We start from the raw sequence: 20473 nt of genomic DNA, 5'->3' as shown, positions 1-20473 counted from the left end.
AGAAACTTGTAAGAACTAAAGTAAAAATAGCACATATCCATACCTAACAGACACATGAATTTACATTTACTGCTGCACTTGTATCCCCTGCCTCCCCTTCCATTGCTCAGTGGAGCACTCAAGCCATCAAACTAACAATCTGAACTCTAAACTAGGCTGGGAAGGCAGAGGCACAGTGGATACAAAGTTGAGTTGGTTCTTGCTCTCAATAAATAAGTATACAAAGGGAGAAAAAGTATATAACTACTAATTCAGACAAAAATTACTATTTAACAAGGCAAGAAGATAAACTGCCATGAAAGAAGTAGAGGTGATTACTGTGGGAATCCAGAACATGGTCCGATCCCGCTGCTACTTAGTTTTTGCACAATGAGTTGCCACACTAAAATTTGTGATTTGTAGCCTTAAGAGTGCTTTGTTCTGAATTTGCCTCTCTATGAATTAAAACCATTATAATGGTGATGTAGGGGCCAAGGGATTTCTCCCTCCCTCTCTGAAGGTTTGAGTCTTTAAGTCTGCTGAAATAAACTGGCAATGGACAGATTAGGAGGACTATTTTATTAATCTGCACATATGCACAGAAGCCACACAAAATATGACACTCAAAAAAGAGGCCATACAGAAAAGAATAGAGGTTTGGAGCTTCTTGGTGGAGATGATGACAGGCTATGAGAGGTGTAAGGGAAGAAAGGTTTGGTGAACAAAGGCTGTCTTGTTATACAGATAAAGGCTCTCATATAGTAGCCCTTGAAAGACTAGATGGTAACCTATGGTACCAGTTTCTCTGTCAATTCTGTAAAAGTGTCAGGACTTTAGTCTCCTTTTCCTGTGAGTCAATCTTTCCTAGATTTGGATAAGGCAGATAAGGAGGCCCTCAAGAAAGCCTGTTTGCATCTGCTGTTTACTTCACTAATATAGATTTCCTCTACAGATGCAAATCTCCTCCACAAAAGGACAGCTTTTCAGAACTACTCCTGTGTCTGCAGCCCCTTTAAATAGCCATACTGAAATATGCCAAAGAAACATATTTTAGGGTGGCATATTTTGGTTTCCCAGTGACAAACTGTTCAATTCTCAGTTGTTATCACTGCTAACATTAGCCTTTATTATACGATATTGCTTGCAATTATATTCTTTTAGGCCCACATAAGTGTGTTGAAAGGAAGTGTGCGTGTTTGTGCGTGTGTGTGTGTGTGTGTGTGTGTGTATTTAGTCCCTTTAAGTATGAAAGTTATATTTCTCCTGAGGAACTGAGATTAAATCATAATCTAAATATGAAATTGATAGTTAAACCATTAGTAATGAAGGGTATGATTTTTAAATTTAGGTTTTTATAGTCTTGATAGATGTTCATGTAATAGATGTTCATGAAACAGATTTTCCTAGAGTACTATATGTTTGTATAGTCAAGGAAATAATGCATGTAGTGTAGTCCTGACAGAAGTCAACAACACTAACTTCTCTTTGCCAACATCAGGAAGGAATCTGGCAATTATCCATGTATTTAACCAGAACTCATTGTCTCAGAACAGAAAGAGGACTTAGTCTGAGAGGTTGATTTGGGAAATAAGCAGGATAATCAGATAAATTGAACCATGAGTCTGGTCTTAAAGACCAACTCAGAGATAAGGAATTAGAAACTTGGTGGCTGAGCTATTAAGAGGCTCTTGATATAAAATCTCCTCTGTTCATGCGTGGGTCAGAGATAGGCAAACCAGGCGAGTAGTGGGGGCTCCTTAGGGTATTCAGTCTTAGGAGTTTAGGAAGACAAAAGTAGAGGCAGTTCTGTCTGATAAGCCTTAATATGTCAAAGAAAAGGCAAAGCTGGACAGTAGTAAAAGTGTTAAAAATATATTTTATTCAAGACTATTGCAATACAGGAAAAGAGACCTCAGCATAAAACTGGGCTCACAACTATGTAAACCATGAGCAAGTGGAAATTTATAGCCAAGGAGCAGGGAGGGTTGGTGGAAATAAACCATGAGAAAATTACTGAGAGGAAACATCAGAAACAAGGGAGATTCTGGCTATACCAATCTAGCAGGATTCTTGCTGAAGACAGGCCAGGATGATGGAACATCACCTCAGAGATGGTAAAAGATGAATGCTGTGATTTGAATGTGTCTCTCAAAGTTCATGTGTTAGAAATTTAACTCCCAATGCAACAGTGTTGGGAGGTGGGAATTTTAAGACGTGATTTGGTCATGAGAGCTCTGCCTTCATGAGTGGATTAATATCATTATTGTGGGAATAGATTAGTTGTCACCTAGGTGGGTTTGTTATAAAAATGAGTTTGACCCCCCTCTTGCTCTCTTTTGCCCTTCTGCTTTCTGCCATGGGATGACGTGGCAAGAAGACCCTCACCAGATGCGTCTGGGTCTTGGACTTCCCAGACTCCAGAACAGTAAGAAATAAATCTCTATTATTTAAAAATTAGCCTGTGGTATTCTCTCAAAGCAGCACAAAACAAATTAACACAATGAGAAACTCAGTTATATATTTATTGTCTTAGTCTGTTTTATGCTGCTGTAACAGAGCTATATTTATCAATCAGATAGTGAAGGTGATCAAATAAAGAGGATGGGGGATTCTTGCTAAACTGACTGAGCAATGTTCTTGCTAAAACTGGGTTTTTACGTGGAACTACACAGATGGACCTAGAAGAAGTTTCAGCAACCTGACTGAAGCTAGGTCAAGCAAAGAATATCAAATGAAAGAACAAAGTGTGTCAGAATTTGACAATTAGTTCTTAAGGATGGTCAGATTAGTTTATTGAATTTGCAAGGGGAGGTGAGAGAACCACAGCTTTTACCATACTGGCAAGTTCCTCACCACCTAAGAGATGGAGAGGAGTGATAATATTTTTTTCTCTTCATTTTCCTATATTTTATATAGGAAGTATAAAATATAAGAAAAACGTTCATAGTAAGCATGTTTCATTTTATAATAAGAAATTAAATTTTCTGTGAAATATTCAAGTGCTGTGTTATACAATTAAGCCCAAAAACAAAGTAAGCAAAGTATCACATACTATATTTGAATGTCATTTAAATAATGTTATTTTTGGAAAAACCTTTAGAAATAAACCAATCTAAACTCTTACCCAATAAAGAGGAAACCACAAACCTAGAGAGTTTATATTTCTCACATAGTTACTGACATATCTAGAACTAAGCATTTTTTCTTGTATTCTAGTGCTCTTTCCCACATATTGTCAAAATTATATTTCTCTGAGATAGAGTTTTATATAAATAACTCCATTTGGAATCATTAAATTATGTTCAAAAGTAATCTAATACCATTTTATCCTAAAAGATATTTCGGGAAAAGTGAAATTGATATATATCCTTGAAAGAGAATAAGGCAGTAATTTGCCATTACAGTATTAGGAAGGCATCTGCTATTGCTATATTCCTAAGCATTTTGGGGAAAAGTGACTAAAATTCAAATAAATTGGTCTAAATATTATTGTCAGTTTGGAAATTAATGATAAAGGATCATCTAACAAAATCTTCTGATTGGTGAATAATAGAAATAGGTTTTAGCACTTTCCTTGGGTTTTTTTAATTTATTTATTTTTGGAACGGAATCTTGCTCTGTCGCCCAGGCTGGAGTGCAGTGGCATGATCTCAGCTCACTGCAACCTTCGCCTCCCAGGTTCAAGCAATTCTCCTGCTTCAGCCTCCCAACTAGCTGGAATTACAGGCACCCACCACCACACCCGGCTAATATTTTGTATTTTTAGTAGAGATGGGGTTTCATCATGTTGGCCAGGCTGGTCTCAAACTCCTGGCCTCAAGTGATCCACCTGCCTCAGCCTCCCAAAGTGCTGGGATGACAGGCATGAGCCACCACACCTGGCCTTTTCCTTGGTTCTTAAAAATCCTTTTGACTATGGGAGAATTTTTAGATTGAATGTTCAAGTTTACAAGGGGATCAAAATCGTTAAGGAGATGCTCAAAGTTAAGTTGTATGCAAAATAACTTTGGAAGTGTTATTATTATTTGTAACTCAAATATCTTTTTAGTTTGGCATTCAGAGGTATTAATTAAAACAAAAAGTATCATTCACAATCTATAATATTTTTGTTAAAGGGTCTGTATTTTCACTTCAAAATTTCCTCTCAAATCTATCATATTTCTTTGTTCTGACCTGGTCTTTCATCTTCTTTCCTTTGGACTATTAAAAGTTTGTTTTTTCAACTGATCTGTCTTTAGTTTATACCCTGCAAAATCCATTCTCTAGACTGTTTCCAGATTTATCTTTCTTTTTAACATATTTGATACAGTAATTTCCCCAAAACATGAATCTGATTATATCCTGTCTTCCTCATACACTGTTAATTTCTCAGTGTCTGTGTCTCATGGTTCCCACTTCAGATGACTTGTGGCATAATCAGGGGAATTCCGATGCAGGCATTGAAGGTGAAAGCACTGCCAGGGACTCAATCTTGGGAGTTAGTCTGGGGTGAAGCTGGGTCCAGGATTGAGCCTTTGCCATTTGTTGGTAGGTAGGTGGGCACAAAAATGGTGTCACCTAAGGTACACTTTTATTTATTTTTTTAGTTTTAAAAACCATCAGGCCAACGTATTACCTAAGACATTGTTGAGGATGATCTTACTTGGAATGTGCTCAGAAGGAGCAGTTTCTTCATTCTCAACACTCCTCCCCACCCCCACCTCAAGCTACCTCTCCTTGAAGGCCATGATGAAAGATCTTTGTCTATATCCTAACAGCAGTGAACACCCAGTAAGGGATTCTGAGAAAGCAATTGACAACAACAGAATATACACATCTATTTCTGATTGGAATCAGATAGATACCTGATCTCAATCATTTCCCTAGAACCTTCCCTAACCTGGGGTAGTTGCTATCACATCTCTGTTAAACTCAATTTCAAAAGAAGATTTGGAATTTTTTCATCAGAGGCAGTCTGCCATCCTACTTTCTCCCACAGCCCCAAATTGTCACATTTTACTGATCGGGTGATGTTTTGCCAGTTAATCAACAATGTAACATTTTTTGCAACCTTACTCCACTCGTAATCTGTTAATTTTGATGAACTTTTTCTACTGATCTTAGAGCAAGGCTTCTCTTGCCCTTTGAGAACTGAATGTTATTAAATATTCCTCTATAAATCCCAAGATAATTATACACATTTTCTTCTTTAGCTTTTTGATGTAGTACATTATGTCAGTAGATTTTTCTAATGTTGAACTATCCTCATATTCCTGGAATAAGGAAGTCCACGCAGATTATGAAGTGGTATTTTAGTTTTTTAACATGTTGCTCAATTTTATTTGTTACTATTTTACTTAGATTTTTGTATTTGCTTTTAGTGAGATTGGTCACTACTTTTATTTTCTTGTATTGTCTGTATACTGTTTTGTTATCACAATTATGTAATTCTAATAAATAAAGTTGGGCAAATATCTCTTTTTCTCGTAGCTTTCAAATTATGTGTCAGGTTGAACATTGCAATAGACTGACTGTTTACGTCCCCTCAAAATTTATGCATTGAAATCCTAACCCCCAAGATAATGGTATTAGGAGGTAGGGCATTTGGAAGGTGATTAACTCATCAAGGCAAAGCCCTTGGGAATGAGATTAATTCCCTGGAGAGATCCCTCAACCCTTCTACCACATGAGGACACAGCATGAAGGCATCATCTATAAGCCAGAAAACGGGTTTTTATCAGACACTAAAACAAGGTGTCAGTAGGGCCATGCTCCCTGTGTGAGGTTCTGGGAAGAATCTGTTCCATGCCTGTCTCCTAGCTTCTGGTGGTTCCTTGGCTTGAAGCTGCATCTCTCAATCTCTACCTCTGACATCACAGGTCTTTCTTCCCTATGTGCCTCTCTGTTCTTTCCTCTGCTTAAAAGGATACCAGTCATATTGGATTAGGACTTACCCTAATCTGTTATAACCTCATTTTAACTACATTTGCAAAGACCCTATTTCTATATAAGTCCCTGCTATGGTTTGAATGTCCCATTCAAAATTTACTTTGAAATTTAATTGCTATTTTAACAGTATTAAATGGTAAGACCTTTAAGAGGTGATTAGGCCATGAGGGATACACCATCATAAATGGATTAATGCTGATTTTTATAAAAGGGCTTGAGGCTCTGAGTTTAATTTCTTGTTCTTTCTCATCCCGCCTTTGCCCTTCTGCCACGGAATGATGCAGTAAAAAGGCCCTGCCAGATGCCAAACCCTTGATTTTAGACTTCCCAGCTTCCAGAACTGTGAGCCAATAGATTTCTGTTCATTATAAATTACCCAGTCTCAGGTATTCTGTTATGGTGGCACAAAATGGACTGAATCACATTATGAGTTTCTTAGCAAGAAACCCAGAAATGTTCATTGTTGTGTACGTGAGTTCTGGGGTGACATTATTCAACTGAGTATAGACCTCTTTCTGTTTACTCCTCTTTTTTTCCCCGTTTACCTCCTTTCTTCTTAGAACTTTAATCAGTTACAAGACAGGCAGTGAACCGGTTGTGTTCCTACTTGCTATTGATGACCTTTTAGAAATCATTCCTTGCTATGTTTTTCTTAGTACTCATGAATTATAAGATCATCAATAACTCATGAAGATACATTATTTATTTTAAACATGCTCACTAGACAAGCTTCATATATTTTCTTGGGCTTTTTACTCGTCATCTTTAATTATCTTGCATTATTTGGGCTTGCTTGAACTTTAAAGGTCAGTCAATACATTTTTCATAACTTTTAATGGATGTTTTTGGTTTCGTTTTTAGTGTCATTCAAAGATGGATAATATCTCCATCAACCTTTTCTCATGTTTAAAACAACTGGTGATTCTATGAGGCTTTATTTTTTGATGCAGATATTCATGGTTACCTGATGAAGGGGTAACTCTGAACAAGAAAGTCCAGTGAGAGAAGTGTGAGATATACACAATATATTGTAAAAAGAGTGATGCCATTTTTACATCGAAGTGAAGAGGGAACTTCACTGGAAATGTTTCTTAGCAATATCCTCATTGCTGTAGGCCAAAATTAGACTTTCAAGTCTCTTCGAGTAAATCAAATGAACTATTTGGGGAATTTTTTTTTTTTTTTTAAGTAATCATGACCAGTGTGAACAATGGACTAGAAGGGAGTAAGAACGACATGGTTAGGAGGACACAGCACAGCGCCACACTGCAGAGTGAATAACAAACACCAGAGGGACAGCTGTGCCTGCACCCAGGAAGTGCGTCCCCTCACCCCACCCAAAAGGAAAAGAGGGTTCAAAGATTGTTGAGCCCTGACCAATCACTTTATCCCCTCCTCCTCCCTTAGGAAAGACCATGAAAGGCGATGAAGAAAAATGGAAATGTACCCCCAATATTCCCGACTGGAGAGAGAAGAAACACTTCCCACATCCTGTTTATCTGTAAGGCCTGCCATTTCTATCTTCAAAATATACCACAAATCTATCCCCCATCTCTACCTCTGTCATCTGCACCTTAGGCCAAAATCCTTTCCTTTCTCATTTGGATTATTGTAATTCAGGCCTCAGCTGCCTAAAATTCAGAGAAGAGGGTATATGAAGGCTTATGTAGACTTCAAGTAGATTAGAAGCCCAATATAATAAAGTGTTTGCCTAGGACTTAAGAGATGATGCTTCCTTATTTCCATTTGGCAATTTACCACTTGTGTATGCCCCAACAGTCAGAACCCTGGAAGGAAGAGAGTTGAGTCATACTTTGAATCCCAGTCCAGCAGATGTTTGAATTTGAATTTCAGAGTACATGACTCTGAAAAGTGCTCCCTTTTTTCCTGTTATATGCAATAACTTAGTATTAAGTTGGAGCCCAGATGACATGTCTTGCAACTGACAAGCACCTTCTCATCTTATCACATCATTATAACTTTTTCCTCTATCCATAATATATCAGCTTGATAATGTATGTAGAGTTATCCACTATTACATAAAAAATTGCCCCAAATCTTTGAGGATTAAAACAAAAATAAATACGTATGATTTCACAGTTTTTATATCAGTAATTCAGGAACAGCTTAGCTAGCTGCGTCTGGCGTAAGGGTCTTTCATAAGGTTTTGGTCAGGATGTTGGCCTGGGACCACTATCATCTGAAGGCTTGACTGGGGCTTGAGGATCTTCTTCCAAAATGATGTCCTCACGTGGCAAGTATATGCAGCCTGTTGAAGGTCTCAGTTTCTCACCACATAGACTTCTTCCTAGGGATATTTGAGTGTCCACTCTACATAGCACCTGACTTTGCTTGAAGCTAATAATTCAAGGGAGATCAAAGTGAAAGCCACAGTGTCTTTTATAACCTAATCTTATAACCCACATGCCATCACTCAATCTATTTATTAATAGTAAATTACTCAGTCTGGCCCCTACATAAGGTGAGGGGAATTAGACTCCATCTTTTGAAGAGAGGAGAGTTAAAATCTCCACCATGTCTCTTCTCTTTTTGAATTCTGGCCTCTCTTCCCCAATTCAACCTTCTTGCCAATTCCAAATCTCCTGCCTTCCCTCATCTCCAAACGTATGCACATACTAACTTTATTTAACAGATTTTTCAAATTTCTTTCTGGTATCAATTAGAATCAGTTTTGGCTGTAGCAGCAGCAAACTACAAAATAGTGGTAGCTTAAATCACATAAGGTTTATTTCTACCATGCATAGAAAACATTTGTAGGTAGGCAGTCCAAGGCTGGTCTGGTGATATTGTTATAGTTTATGACCTTCATCCTCATGGTTCAAGATATCTGCTAGGGTTCTAGTTGCCAAAGGTGAAACCGAGGAAGCAGAGTAGAGAAATACAAAGTTAAAAAGTGTGTGCTAGCAGTTGTTTAAGGTTTCCTGGAAACCTTACTGTACAACACATTGCCTCCCTCTCCGCATCAGCACTTAGTTACATGCAAATGTATGACATGTAATATGGAAGCATAAGATGTACAAGCTAATATGCTAAATGTTGTCTTTATTTGCAGGTATGTGATGGTTAATTTTAGGTATCAATTTGACTAGATTAATGGGTACCTAGATAGCTAGTAAAGCATTAATTCTGAGTGAGGGTGTTTCCAGAGAAAATGGGCGCATGAGTTGATAAACTGAGTGGGGAAGATTTGTCTTCAATGTGGGTAGGCACCATCCAATTGGCTGGGGCCAAGATAGAACAAATAGACAGAGGAAAGGCAAATTAATGCTTTCTCTTCTGGAGCTGAGACACCCTTCTTCTCCTGCCCTTGGACATCAAAACTTCAGGTCCTCAGGCCTTTGGCCTCAAACTGAGAGTTATACCACTGGCTTTCCTAGTTTGGAGGCTTTTGGACTTTTACTGAGCCACACTATTGGCATCCCTTGGTCTCCAGCTTGCAGACAGTCTATTGTGGGACTTCTCTGCTGCCATAATCATATGAACCAATTCCCCTAATAAATGCCCTGTCATCTATCTATTATCTATCTATCTATCTATCTATCTATCTATCATCTATCTATCTATCTTATTATTTCTGTCTCTCTAGAGAACCCTAATGAAAAGTGATTATATGCCCAGCTAAAAATCAGGGAGTTTCTTGCTAAGGAAGATGGGGAGAATAAATATTGGCCATGGCTACGTATATATTTTTGGCTACCCGGACATCTATGAGCACTGTTTTCCTATGTAGGGTGCTGTGTGTGCTCACTATATGGAAGTTGGCTTTCCTCAGAGCTGATGATCCAAGAAAAGCCAGGAACACATTTGCAGAGTAGACATTTACTCTTTCTCCAAGGCAGAAAACTTCAAGATCTTCCTGAATTCCTGCTCCATGTTCAGGATCTCTTAATCATATGCAGTCCCTTCCTTGGGGTCATGTGTACCTTCTTGTGGTCTGCCAGCAGATACATTGAAAAACATATATGGATATGGAAACAGGACACCACCGTAAAAACTATTTGAGAAAGGGGAGGAGAAACTGGTAGTGGTCACTGGTCCATATCAATGATCAGATACCTCTGAGCAGAAAGTACAAGCTCCCTCCCCTAGTAAAGGAGGGTATTCTTTGCTTAGCTATTTGGTAGTCCTCAGTTAAGCTCTTGCCCATTGTATTTTGTGGTTCTTATCTCTGCTTTCTAGGACGTGCATTATATTACATGGCTGCATGAGAAGGGGCCATGGGGCAGAAGCCCCTCTGTGGTGGTTGCCATTGCAGAAGCTCTCTTCCTGCTAGGGTGAATATGGGGACCCAGAAACTGTTTTAGGAGCTTGATGGTCACAGGCCAGGATTGAAATTTCTTTTGAAGAACAATTTCCTTAAAATTTAGTAATCTTCTGGTATATTTGCTTTCAGTTAGTTCCACGTATGTTAGTAGCCAGAGATCGTAATGTCTAGACGATTTCTAAGCCTGAGACATTTTAGTGTGATGTACTTCTTGGGAGAAAAGCTGAGTGTTGGGAGAGACGCGGAGGCAGGACTTGCATGTCTGACATAATGTAAAAGAGTCTCGGAACATGTCTGGGGTCCAGGGTCTAAAACCCCTTGTGGCCTCTGGAACACCAAGCTCTGTGCTAAAGGGTGGAAGGCTGCCCTGACACACCATAATCTAAGCCCAGGGCATAAAACCTCTCGTGGCTTGGATAGAATCCAGGGCTCGTGGCTTCTGGAATGTGTCTAGACTCGCTGGCTCCTTGCTCCTTGCTCTCCCAGGATTGACTGTATCTTGAGTTAAAAGAACCTGCTCTCCACTATCCCAAGTAGTAGAGCATATGCTAAACCATTGCAGCTATAAATCATAATGCGATGCAAATCATAACGTAATGTAAATCATAATGTGCTTAATGCAACGCTCCCTTTCAACCCCACATTCTCACCACCTGTTTCTTTGTTTGAGCACCACCAATAAATAGTCTGGGCTTCCAGAGTTCAGGGCCTTCGCAGCCTCCATACTTAGTGTTGGCTCCCGGGACTCACTTTCTCTCTCAAACTGTCTTTTCTCATTCCTTTGACTACGCCGGACTTCGTCACCCCTATGACTCGGTGTTGGGTCTGATCACCCCAACAGTACTGGCATCTAGGCTCTGCCTATTCTTCCCTATACCAAGCTCAAACACCCTATCCCCCCAAGAAGTGTTGGCTATCTTGAGACATTTAAAAATAATAGGCAAAAATCACAATCTGATCTTTGTCAATGCACTAGGTTCTACTGACTGACAGTTGCTTAATGGAAAGTATTTGAGAAAGACTAGGGGCCTAGGGTACTTTAATTGGATTAATGACCCAAATTTTTGCCCCTCTCTCTAACTATACTCTTTGCCCTAGCATATTGCAGCGTCCTCCTACTCTTGGGGGAACCTTCTGCCCAGTAGCATACTGGTTAAATGTTTCTTAAAAAATACTTTATACATTATGTTATAAATTTTACTGAAAATATGTGTAGCACACATTGACAAATAAGAAAATATGCAATAATCTTTTCTGTAAGTTCTATATAGCCAACTCTTACTGAATGCTTTATTTGACTTTCACTAAATTTTCTTATCCATAGCCAATCTACAGTTGTAGTTCATGAGCAAGTGTAGTTCTGACATGAATGTTAATTGATATTCTCATTGTCAGTAAGAGGAAAGTAAAACAATAAAGAGGTAGCTGAAACTGCAGTTGTTTGTAAATGAGGTGACAACTTTGCAGAATTAGATAATAGTTTTCAAAGAACATTTCCTCAATTATTTTTTGTATTTGCAATGTAACGGCCGCAGACACAACACGCTTTTAAATTTAATCTGCATTAATGTTTTCTCTACCACTTTCTTAAGCCAGACAATTAACAAAACAAATCAACAAGCAACACTTCATTTGTAGCTTCTATCAATTTCTGTGGTATAAACACTCCAACAGTGGCTGATTTCAAGCTACTGGTTTGACACAACTGAAACATGAAGTAGTGTTTCCACCAGATACACTAGAAACAAACACCTTAAGAGGACAGACAATAGTAAAATATAATAAAATAACTAGAAAGTCATGAGTTTTGAGTACCTATTATCTTTGTTTTAATGTAAATTATTTAATTACAAGTACATAAATTAAACAACAGCTGTGTTAACAATCAGCTTGCCAAATTTCTGAAAATTAAACGGTAGACCCATGGGCTGGTATGAGTTGCCTCCTAACACCACAGGTTCTGCCCGCCCTTTCACCTTAGGCTTGGAAAAGTGGTTGCATATTATTCTTTCTTGCTTGCTCTTATGCTGTAAACATGGCAACATTTCTGGGCTGGCCAGCTGAAGGATAAGGCAGTGGAGGAGAACTGAGTAGTCCACCTGTCTCAGCCAAGACAATCCTAGACTAGTAAAGCAGCTGATCCTAGACATGTGTGAGATCCCAGCCAAGATAAGAAGAGCTAGACCCTGCAGCTGACTGGGTACAGGTGAGCCCAGCCAAGACCAATAGAAATGTTCACCCAACCCACAGATTCATGAGCTAAACAAATGTTTAATTTTTTGAAATCACTGGGTTGTAGGGTGTGTACATGTGTGTATATACACACACATATATTTATATACACATATACACACACACACATACATATACACATATATGCTATATATGATGGTTAATACAGAGTTATAGTTTCATCCCATAAGATTACCTCCTTGCAGTCACTGCTGGTAACTACTTCAGGGGTATACGAGCACTTGTATTCTTTACTCTTTCAAAGCTCAAATACAGGACCTAGTCAAACTAGACTGCAGGCCACAGACAGAGTACTTCCTTAGTACGGCTGTGTTTCCTTCCAATTGTAACTGTAGACTTGCTTAATCTAGCCTGTTTGTCCTTCTTTTAAGATTGGCAAGAAGGGGTTAGAAAACATGAACATTTTGGATTTTCCTTACCATTTTCCCCAATCCTACATTCTCATCATTTGCCTCCCAAGACACAGCACATGAAAATGTGATCCATTGTTTTGCCATCACCTAATAAAGACCAACAGCTTTCTAGCCTCAACAAAGCCTGCAGCACCTACTGCTTGACTGTCTTCAACAAACCAATGCCACATTTAAAATGTTTAAACATTAACCTTCCCAGTCCCAGGTATGATGCTTTGTGTTACTTGTGGTATCTATCTCTCTCTCTCTCTGTCAATCACACACACACACACACAGCCTACAGGTAGGTAGTCCAGGGCTGGTATTGTCATTCCACATCTAGAATCCAGCTTTCAGGTCCACCCTTCCTGGGGAGTGACTCTCATCTTCATAATCTAAAATGGCTGCTAGGGTGTTAGCCATCACATTTGCATTCCAGGCAGAAAAATGAAGAAAGGAAAAAGAAGGCAAAGGGCAATGTTCTTACTGTCTTTAATAGTTTCCTAACACTGCCACAGAAGATATCTGCTTATATCTCACTGTCTAAAGTTCAGTCACATGGCCACAATCTCAAGGAAGGCTGGGGTACTTTAATCTTTATTGAGGGCAGTCATGTGCCCAGCTAAAACCAGGGGTTCTATTACTAAGAAAGATACAGCTGCCCCCCACCCCAAAACAATTCAATAAAAATACAAATAAACAATAGTGTAGTAACTATTTTCATAGCATTTACACATTCATTATTATAAGTAATGTAGAGATGATTTAAAGTATATGGAAGATGTGCAAAGGTTATATGCAAATACTGTAATATTTTATATAAATGACTTGAGCACCTGCAGATTTTGGTATCCCTGAGAGTTCCTGGAACCAATCCCCTTCAGATACCAACGAATAACTGTACATGTTTGGTAGAGAACTAGTTGTCTCTACCTAGTCTCCATTCTGGTCACTTCTTTAGTTTCCTAATTTCAGAGTAAGGCCAGTCTCCTTCTGTGATGGTTAATTTTGTGTCAACTTGAGTGAACCAAGGGATGCCCAGATACCTGGTAAAACATTATTTCCACGTGTGTTGGTGAGGGTGTTTCTGGAAGTCATTGACATTTCTACTGGTAGACTGAGTAAAGAAGATCCACCCTCACTAATGTGGATGGGCATCAGTCCATTCAGTGCCCCATATGAAACAAAAAGGCAGAGGAAGGACAAAATCAGCCTCTCTGCTTGTTCTGGGACATCTATTTTCTCCTGCTCTTGGATATCAGTACACTTGCTTCTCTGGCCATTGGACTTGACTGAATTACACCTCCAGCTTTCCTGATTCTCCAGCTTGCAGATGGCAGATCGTGGGTCTTCTCAGCCTCCGTAATCATATGAGCCAATTCCTACAATAAACCTCTCTGTCTCTCTCATTCTGTTTCTCTGGCAAACTCCAATATTCCCTCCTAGGGACAGGAATTTTATCACTCTGATGCCTTATGGCTACTATTCATGGACGTTTCTTATAGCTTTGATTTTCTTGCAGTGTATATCCCAGGTAAATACCTTTCTCTGCTATTGGAGTCCCCTTTCCTCCCCTTATTCTTGTTAACTTTTGGCTTGGATTACATTTTATATGAACTAGGCCTTACCAAAAAATTTTTAAAATGTCTGTCAGTGAGGAAAGGATAGGTCCAGTGTATAACTTAAAAGACGCTATGAGGCAGAGTTCTGTTTTTGTTTTTGTTTTTTTTTTCTTGAGACAGAGTCTCGCTCCATCATCCAGGCTGGAATGCATTGGCACCAACTTGTTTCACTGCAACTTCTGCCTCCCAGGTTCAAGCGATTCTCTTGCCTCAGCCTCCCGAGTAGCTGGGATTGCAGGTGTGTTCCACCATGCCCGGCTAATTTTGGTATTTTTAGTAGAGATGGGGTTTCTGCCATGTTGGCCAGGCTGGTCTTGAACTCCTGGCCTCATGTGATCTGCCCACCTTGGCCTCTCAAAGTGCTGGAATGACAGGTGTGAGCCACTGCACCCAATCAGAATTCTTTTTTATTTTGATAGCTTTGACTGCTTTGATAGTTCTCCATCAAGGAAACTGTTCAAAATGAAAAACAGAACATGTCTTATAGGAGGACTCTCTAAGTCCAATATTAGTGAAGACGATAAGGACAATTTCTTCCTAGAAATAATATATTTCTATCTTCAGCACAAGAGGAATTAATTCCACAGCACTAATAGAAACTGTTAATAGTGTAAATTACAAACAATACAACAAAAATGAAAGCAAAACACACTCCACAGAAGTATGTCAGAAATAAAAAAAAGAAATTCCTTAAACCCTCAAGCCAGCATGCTTGATACAAATTTATACTTTTTTTTTTTTTTTTGAGATGGAGTTTTGCTCTTGTTGCCCAGGCTAGAGAGCAATGGTGCAATCTCGGCTGACTGCAACCTCCGTCTCCGGGGTTCAAGCAATTCTTCTGCTTCAGCCTCCTGAACAGCTGGGATTACAGGCGTGCGCCATCATGCCCAGCTAATTTTGTATTTTTAGTAGAGATGGGTTTATACATTTTTAAAGAATGGACAATGATGCAGATGATTTGTGAGCATTTTGATGAGAAAGTGGTGATTAGAAGGATACAGCATAAATTTAATTGTAAACATGCTTATCTAGCTAACCTAATCTGTTTCTGTAGAATTACTGGCATGGGAGATTGGATAGATGCCTAACCTATCTCAATTTTAAGTAATGTGAGCAAGTCTTTAAGGTATACATAATGATAAAATGGAGAAACATGACCAGATGATGATGGTCATGTAGGTAATTAGATGGATTTGTAGGTGGTTGAAATTGTATCTAAGCATAGCAATCTGGCCTCTGTCTACTCTCCAACAGAATCAATAATCATTCCACATCCCTCTGCTCCAACCATACTGAATTATTTGCAGTTCTCTAAAAACATCATATTCTTAAACCCCAGGGCTTTTGCACATACTATTCCTTTGCCTGAAGCAATGTTTTCTTGCTCCTTTACCTCATTCTTACTCATTCTTTGGATATCAGCTTAAATTTCGTAAGTTGAAAATGCACTTAATACACCTACCCTACTGAACATTAGAGCTTAGTCTAACCTACCTTCAACATGTTCAGAACACTTACATTAGCCTACAGTTAGTTGGGCAAAATTATATAACACAAAGCCTATAATAAAGAATAAGATATTGAATATCTTATATTCAATATGTAATTTCTTGAATATTATACTGAAAGTGAAAAGCAATGGTTTTGCACCATCATGAAGTAAAAAATTCATGTCATGCACTTTCTATAGTACTCAAGAGAACTTGGCAGCACCATTTGTCACACAGAGTTCACCCTAAATTCACCTGGTAATTTTGGTGACCCTCTGCTAGTTAGTTGCTTTTGTCCAAGGGAAAAATAAATTTCTTGTATCTTTATGACAGAAGATAGCTTTGTAATGGAGCAAGGTGCCTAATAAAGTTAGGCTCTTATGTTTCCAGGAAGCTGAAAGATAGGGGTACTATTTTTCTCAATGATTAAATTTCAGTGAGATAGCTCCCAGGTCCTTGAGGAATTCACATTCTTAGGTTGTAAAATTGGCAAAAGCCTAATTTAGTTTTTGGAAAGATTTACAGGCATTTCAAAGAGGCACAGAAAAAGCTTACAATTAAGTTTCCTAAAGTAAATGACCAAAGAAAAGGATGTGGAGGGTAAAAGTCTCTCTCTCTCCTTTGCACCAGGCAGAATTAAATAGTTTTATTTCTAATTTGTACTCACCCTTACACCAACAGTGTGAGCATCGCCTAGGAATTTTTGTTAGAGATGCAAATCCTCAGATCCCAATGCAGACTTACTTGATAAGAAACTCTGGGGATAGGGCCCAGGAATTTGAGATTTTACATAAGCTCCCTAGGTGATGCTGAGAATCATTGTAGAGGATTGTTGATAGCAGGCCATGTGCAAAGGATCTGGGGAAGGCAAAGGATTTAATTTTGTTTAAATTAGTGGTTATCTGAGGTTTGCATAAGTAGTTATCTGGTCTGCTAGTATGTTACCTTCAATTAATTGGCAAGAAATTAGGATATCAAAAATAAAGATATTAGATGAGCCTTAGTTTAGCCAAGACAGTCAAACCTCAATAATTTACACAATAGAGAACAAAAACTAAATGATTATTTTTAAACTGTGCTAATTCGGCTCTCAAGTTCATTCTCTAGTTTACGAAGAGTCACCTGATCAAAATCATTTGAAAATCATTTGATTACTAAATCAAGTAAGCCATAAAAGCTAAACCCAAGTGAAACTAGATAATTGTGCAATTTTCTTAGATGGACTCCTTCTTAAGTTCACCTGGCTCTCTACTGGGGACCAAATCTTATATTTCTCAATTATGTATGCAAACTGGAATCACCTGAAAATACGTTTAAAGACAAAAATTGCAGCAGAGAAGCCAGGGAAGGGGTAGAGTGGATTCTTCCAGCACATGAGTTCACATGACTGCTTCCCCTTCTCAACAGGGGCCAGAGCCTGCCAGGACCTCAAAGAGGAGAGCTTCAGAGGCCCAGCTGACATACTAGGCATAGGGGCCAAAGAGTCTACCTTGAGAAAGGTTTTTATATCTCAAATTTGACCCACTCTTGAATGACAGCTCTAAGAAACTGGCTTCTCAGGAAACTGAGACAAACAGCATCTGTGATGCTACCATGCCTTCCTTAGGAAGTCGGCCTGAAGCAAAGCCGGTGGAATCTGATTTCTAGCGACTCCGGGTGTTCGTGTTCCTGTGATAGGGCCTCCCTTATGTGTCCATTGGCCCCATTGTGGATATACTGCAGTTTAGCCAGAAAGACCTGGATGTGGAGGTTAAAGCCACACAAATGGATAAACTGGAATTAAAAAGCATGAGGAGCTTTCCATGAAAAATGCCTGGAGATGGGGAAAATCATGGATGGGATTGTAACCCAGGTGATGGAGGTGTCTCAGAAACAGAGGAAGCTTGCCAAAGCTGAAATCCAGAAGGTTCTGAAAGAAAAAAAAAATCAAGACCAACTTACTAGACGTGAACTCCACGAAAAAAAAATCTCATCTTTTCAAGGGATTTGAGAAGCAGGAAGCTAGTGAAGCCTACTACAAAAATGAATAATGGCTAAAATTATTATGCTAAGCATTACATATTAGGAAGACCAGAGATACCAAGCATTAAAAGCCCACACATAAAAGAAACCCAATCTAGTAAATGAGGAAATTATGCAGGTCCAGAGGAAGACCTGAGTGGATGACTTGGCTCTTCCAGGTGAGCCTGATAAACAGGTATGGATCCGTTCCCTTGAGAGCATTCAGCAGAAAATAAAAGACTAAAGAAAATGATAAACTGATCAGAATCTGTAATTACCTGTTTTCAGAAGTATAAAAACCTAAAATCACTGACCAGTGACCTTCTGTCCCTCCATGTAACTCCATCTCTACAAGCAAGCCTTGTGTACCTTCTCAAAAAAAAAAGACATCTGTATGAGATATTTTGACTTTCATGTTCTGACTTATAAAATGGTGACGGCGAGCTTTCATTAGAAAATCCGTGTATTCTATCAAATGTATGCTCTTGTGAGGTTTACTGAAAAAAACTTGTTTTTTCCTTTGGTGGTGGTATCCTGTAGGTTTTTTACTATGGAGGAAAAAAAAAAACGCTGCTTTGAAACTGTCAGTAAATACGATCAAGACTCAATTTAAAACGGGACTCAAGCGTAGTTCATATGAGGCCAAGTTAATGGGGAGTTCCTTAGGAACTTTTGTAATACTAACTGGCAATAAAATAACTGCTACAACATGTCTTTATTTCGTCTTTCAAAAACAGTGTTTTCCCCTATCATCTTTAGGTAGATAAACTGTCCACGAAGGAGAGAGTGATCAGTTTATCTTAACATAAAGATTCCTAACTAGGAATTCAAAAAGATACTTCAGTGGGACGATATTGATCATCAGAATGACAAACCCATGAACGTTTTAGGAAAGGCAGTTTCAGATTTTTCTCCTTAGAGGGTTTCAAGAAACCCCTTGATTGAGAGGAGGGCACATATCCTCCTCTTACCTTCTTTGTTCCCAAAAGAGACTCAAAGAATTGTGAACCAAACTTTCATAATATAAAGTCTCTAATTACCTGAGAAAACTGCAGCCCAAAAATCTAAAGTGGCTTACCCAAAGTGAGGAAGTTAATACTATTCCTTTTAGTCCAAGAGAATAATGCCAACTGGATACAGCTCAAAGACTGCACCATTCCCATTATTTTTTGCCATTAGTTACGTTTAATTTTAAATATACCATCTTTGGCAGCAAAAATCAAGCTGGGCTTTCCTTCTCCTTTATAAATTGCATATATTTTTAACATATATTAACACTTTAAAACCGTGGGGTGGAAAGTTTAAAATGCCATAAAATAAGAATCATATATGCATTCTTTACACTGTAAAGCATTTTACCAGACATTAGAATCTGCATTCAGAATTCTTTCTCAGAACGTAAGTGTTCTTGAAGACATATATTTTGTCTTACTAATCTGTTTCTTCCAAGCACTACTGTACTAGGCATACGGTAAAGATATACATTCAAGTTTTAAAAGTAAATACTTTTTCCTGGTAGTGGCCAGGGCCTGCGTTCCTCAGACCAAAAGGCGCAAACTGGCATTGCTGTGATTTCAGAAGAGAAGTGAAATGTATAAAACGAAGTAATTCTGGGGAAGGAAAATGTCACAATTTTTCTTCAGTGTTGTCAGGCACACTAACCCGGGAAGCCGTCTCTGGGCCTGAACTATCCAAATTAGTGTCCGAGGAAGTGTGACAAATGCAGGCCCTTCCAAGTTTGACCCTGATTCTCAAAGGTGGCCAAAAGCCGTCTCTAGAAACGGCGGTGGCAGCGGCGTGATTCTGGGAGGTCCATTCAACTTTTAACAGGTCCTGGGCAGTGACCGGGTTGCTGGGCAGTGCAAAGGCATAGAGATTGGCGAGAACAGGCGGCGATCAAGCTTCCCAGCGAGGGTCAAAGTCCAGCAGCTTGGAACTAGTGAGCCGGGCTTGTAGGAGTGAAGCGGCTCGCGCGGGCCCGGCCGGCAGCCGCTCCCCAGACACCGGGGATCCGGCCCGACTGTTTCCTACCCACGACGGCGAAGACCCGCTACAGCGCGTCCACGAAGCCCCAGTACTGAGCCAGGACGGGGCTCTCCCTCTCGATGTAGGCGACTACGAACTGCTCCGCCAGCCGGTGAGGCAGCTAATTAAGAAAGCCACCTTCAGGATGTCTTTCGAGAATCTAGCCTCGAAGAAAGTCATGTAAGAGAACGCCTGCATCAAAAAGTCGGGAGGCCGGGCGGAGTCGCCGTTAAACGTCCAGGGAAAGCCACCAGGTGGGCCGGCGAACGCTCCCGGGCCAGCAGGTAGGCTTTCTCGCACAGCAGCCCCCGCACCCGGTCCGTAAGCTCGTTGTTCTCCCTGCGCCGGGCATGGTTCTAGGTCAGGAGGTCCTACATCATGACAGCCAACGCGTCCATCCTGCGCCTCCCCGCAGGCCTTGCTCCCCGCTCGGTCCCTCCCGGCCGCGGCGCTGCCGGAAGTGCGTGTCGGCGCGGGGGCGGATCCCGGTGGCGGCGA

General features: G+C 39.7%; 1 long non-coding RNA gene and 1 pseudogene across 1 annotated transcript, besides 2 other annotated features; one reads left to right on the top strand and one right to left on the bottom strand.

Moving 5' to 3' along the window:
- Positions 1 to 11997: 11997 nt before the first annotated feature.
- On the bottom strand, positions 11998 to 20406 carry LINC00667 (long intergenic non-protein coding RNA 667). Its single transcript, NR_015389.1, has 3 exons — positions 19457 to 20406; positions 16694 to 16807; positions 11998 to 14912 (listed from the first exon to the last, which is right to left on the bottom strand). It is a non-coding gene; the product is annotated as a long intergenic non-protein coding RNA 667 (long non-coding RNA).
- LOC100422274 (transforming acidic coiled-coil containing protein 3 pseudogene) lies at positions 17360 to 18243 on the top strand (annotated as a pseudogene).
- Positions 19891 to 20070: an enhancer, noted in NCBI's record as "active region_13054". NCBI's record gives its function as "activates an Ori minimal core promoter by ATAC-STARR-seq in GM12878 lymphoblastoid cells {active_cell/tissue: GM12878}" and the evidence as "EXISTENCE:reporter gene assay evidence [ECO:0000049][PMID:35858748]".
- Positions 20291 to 20460: a silencer, noted in NCBI's record as "silent region_9260". NCBI's record gives its function as "represses an Ori minimal core promoter by ATAC-STARR-seq in GM12878 lymphoblastoid cells {active_cell/tissue: GM12878}" and the evidence as "EXISTENCE:reporter gene assay evidence [ECO:0000049][PMID:35858748]".

This window comes from Homo sapiens, chromosome 18 (assembly GCF_000001405.40).
Source record: "Homo sapiens chromosome 18, GRCh38.p14 Primary Assembly".
Lineage (NCBI taxonomy): Eukaryota > Metazoa > Chordata > Mammalia > Primates > Hominidae > Homo > Homo sapiens.
Note: the sequence above shows the minus strand (reverse complement) of the source record. Positions and strands in the feature narration are given on the sequence as shown.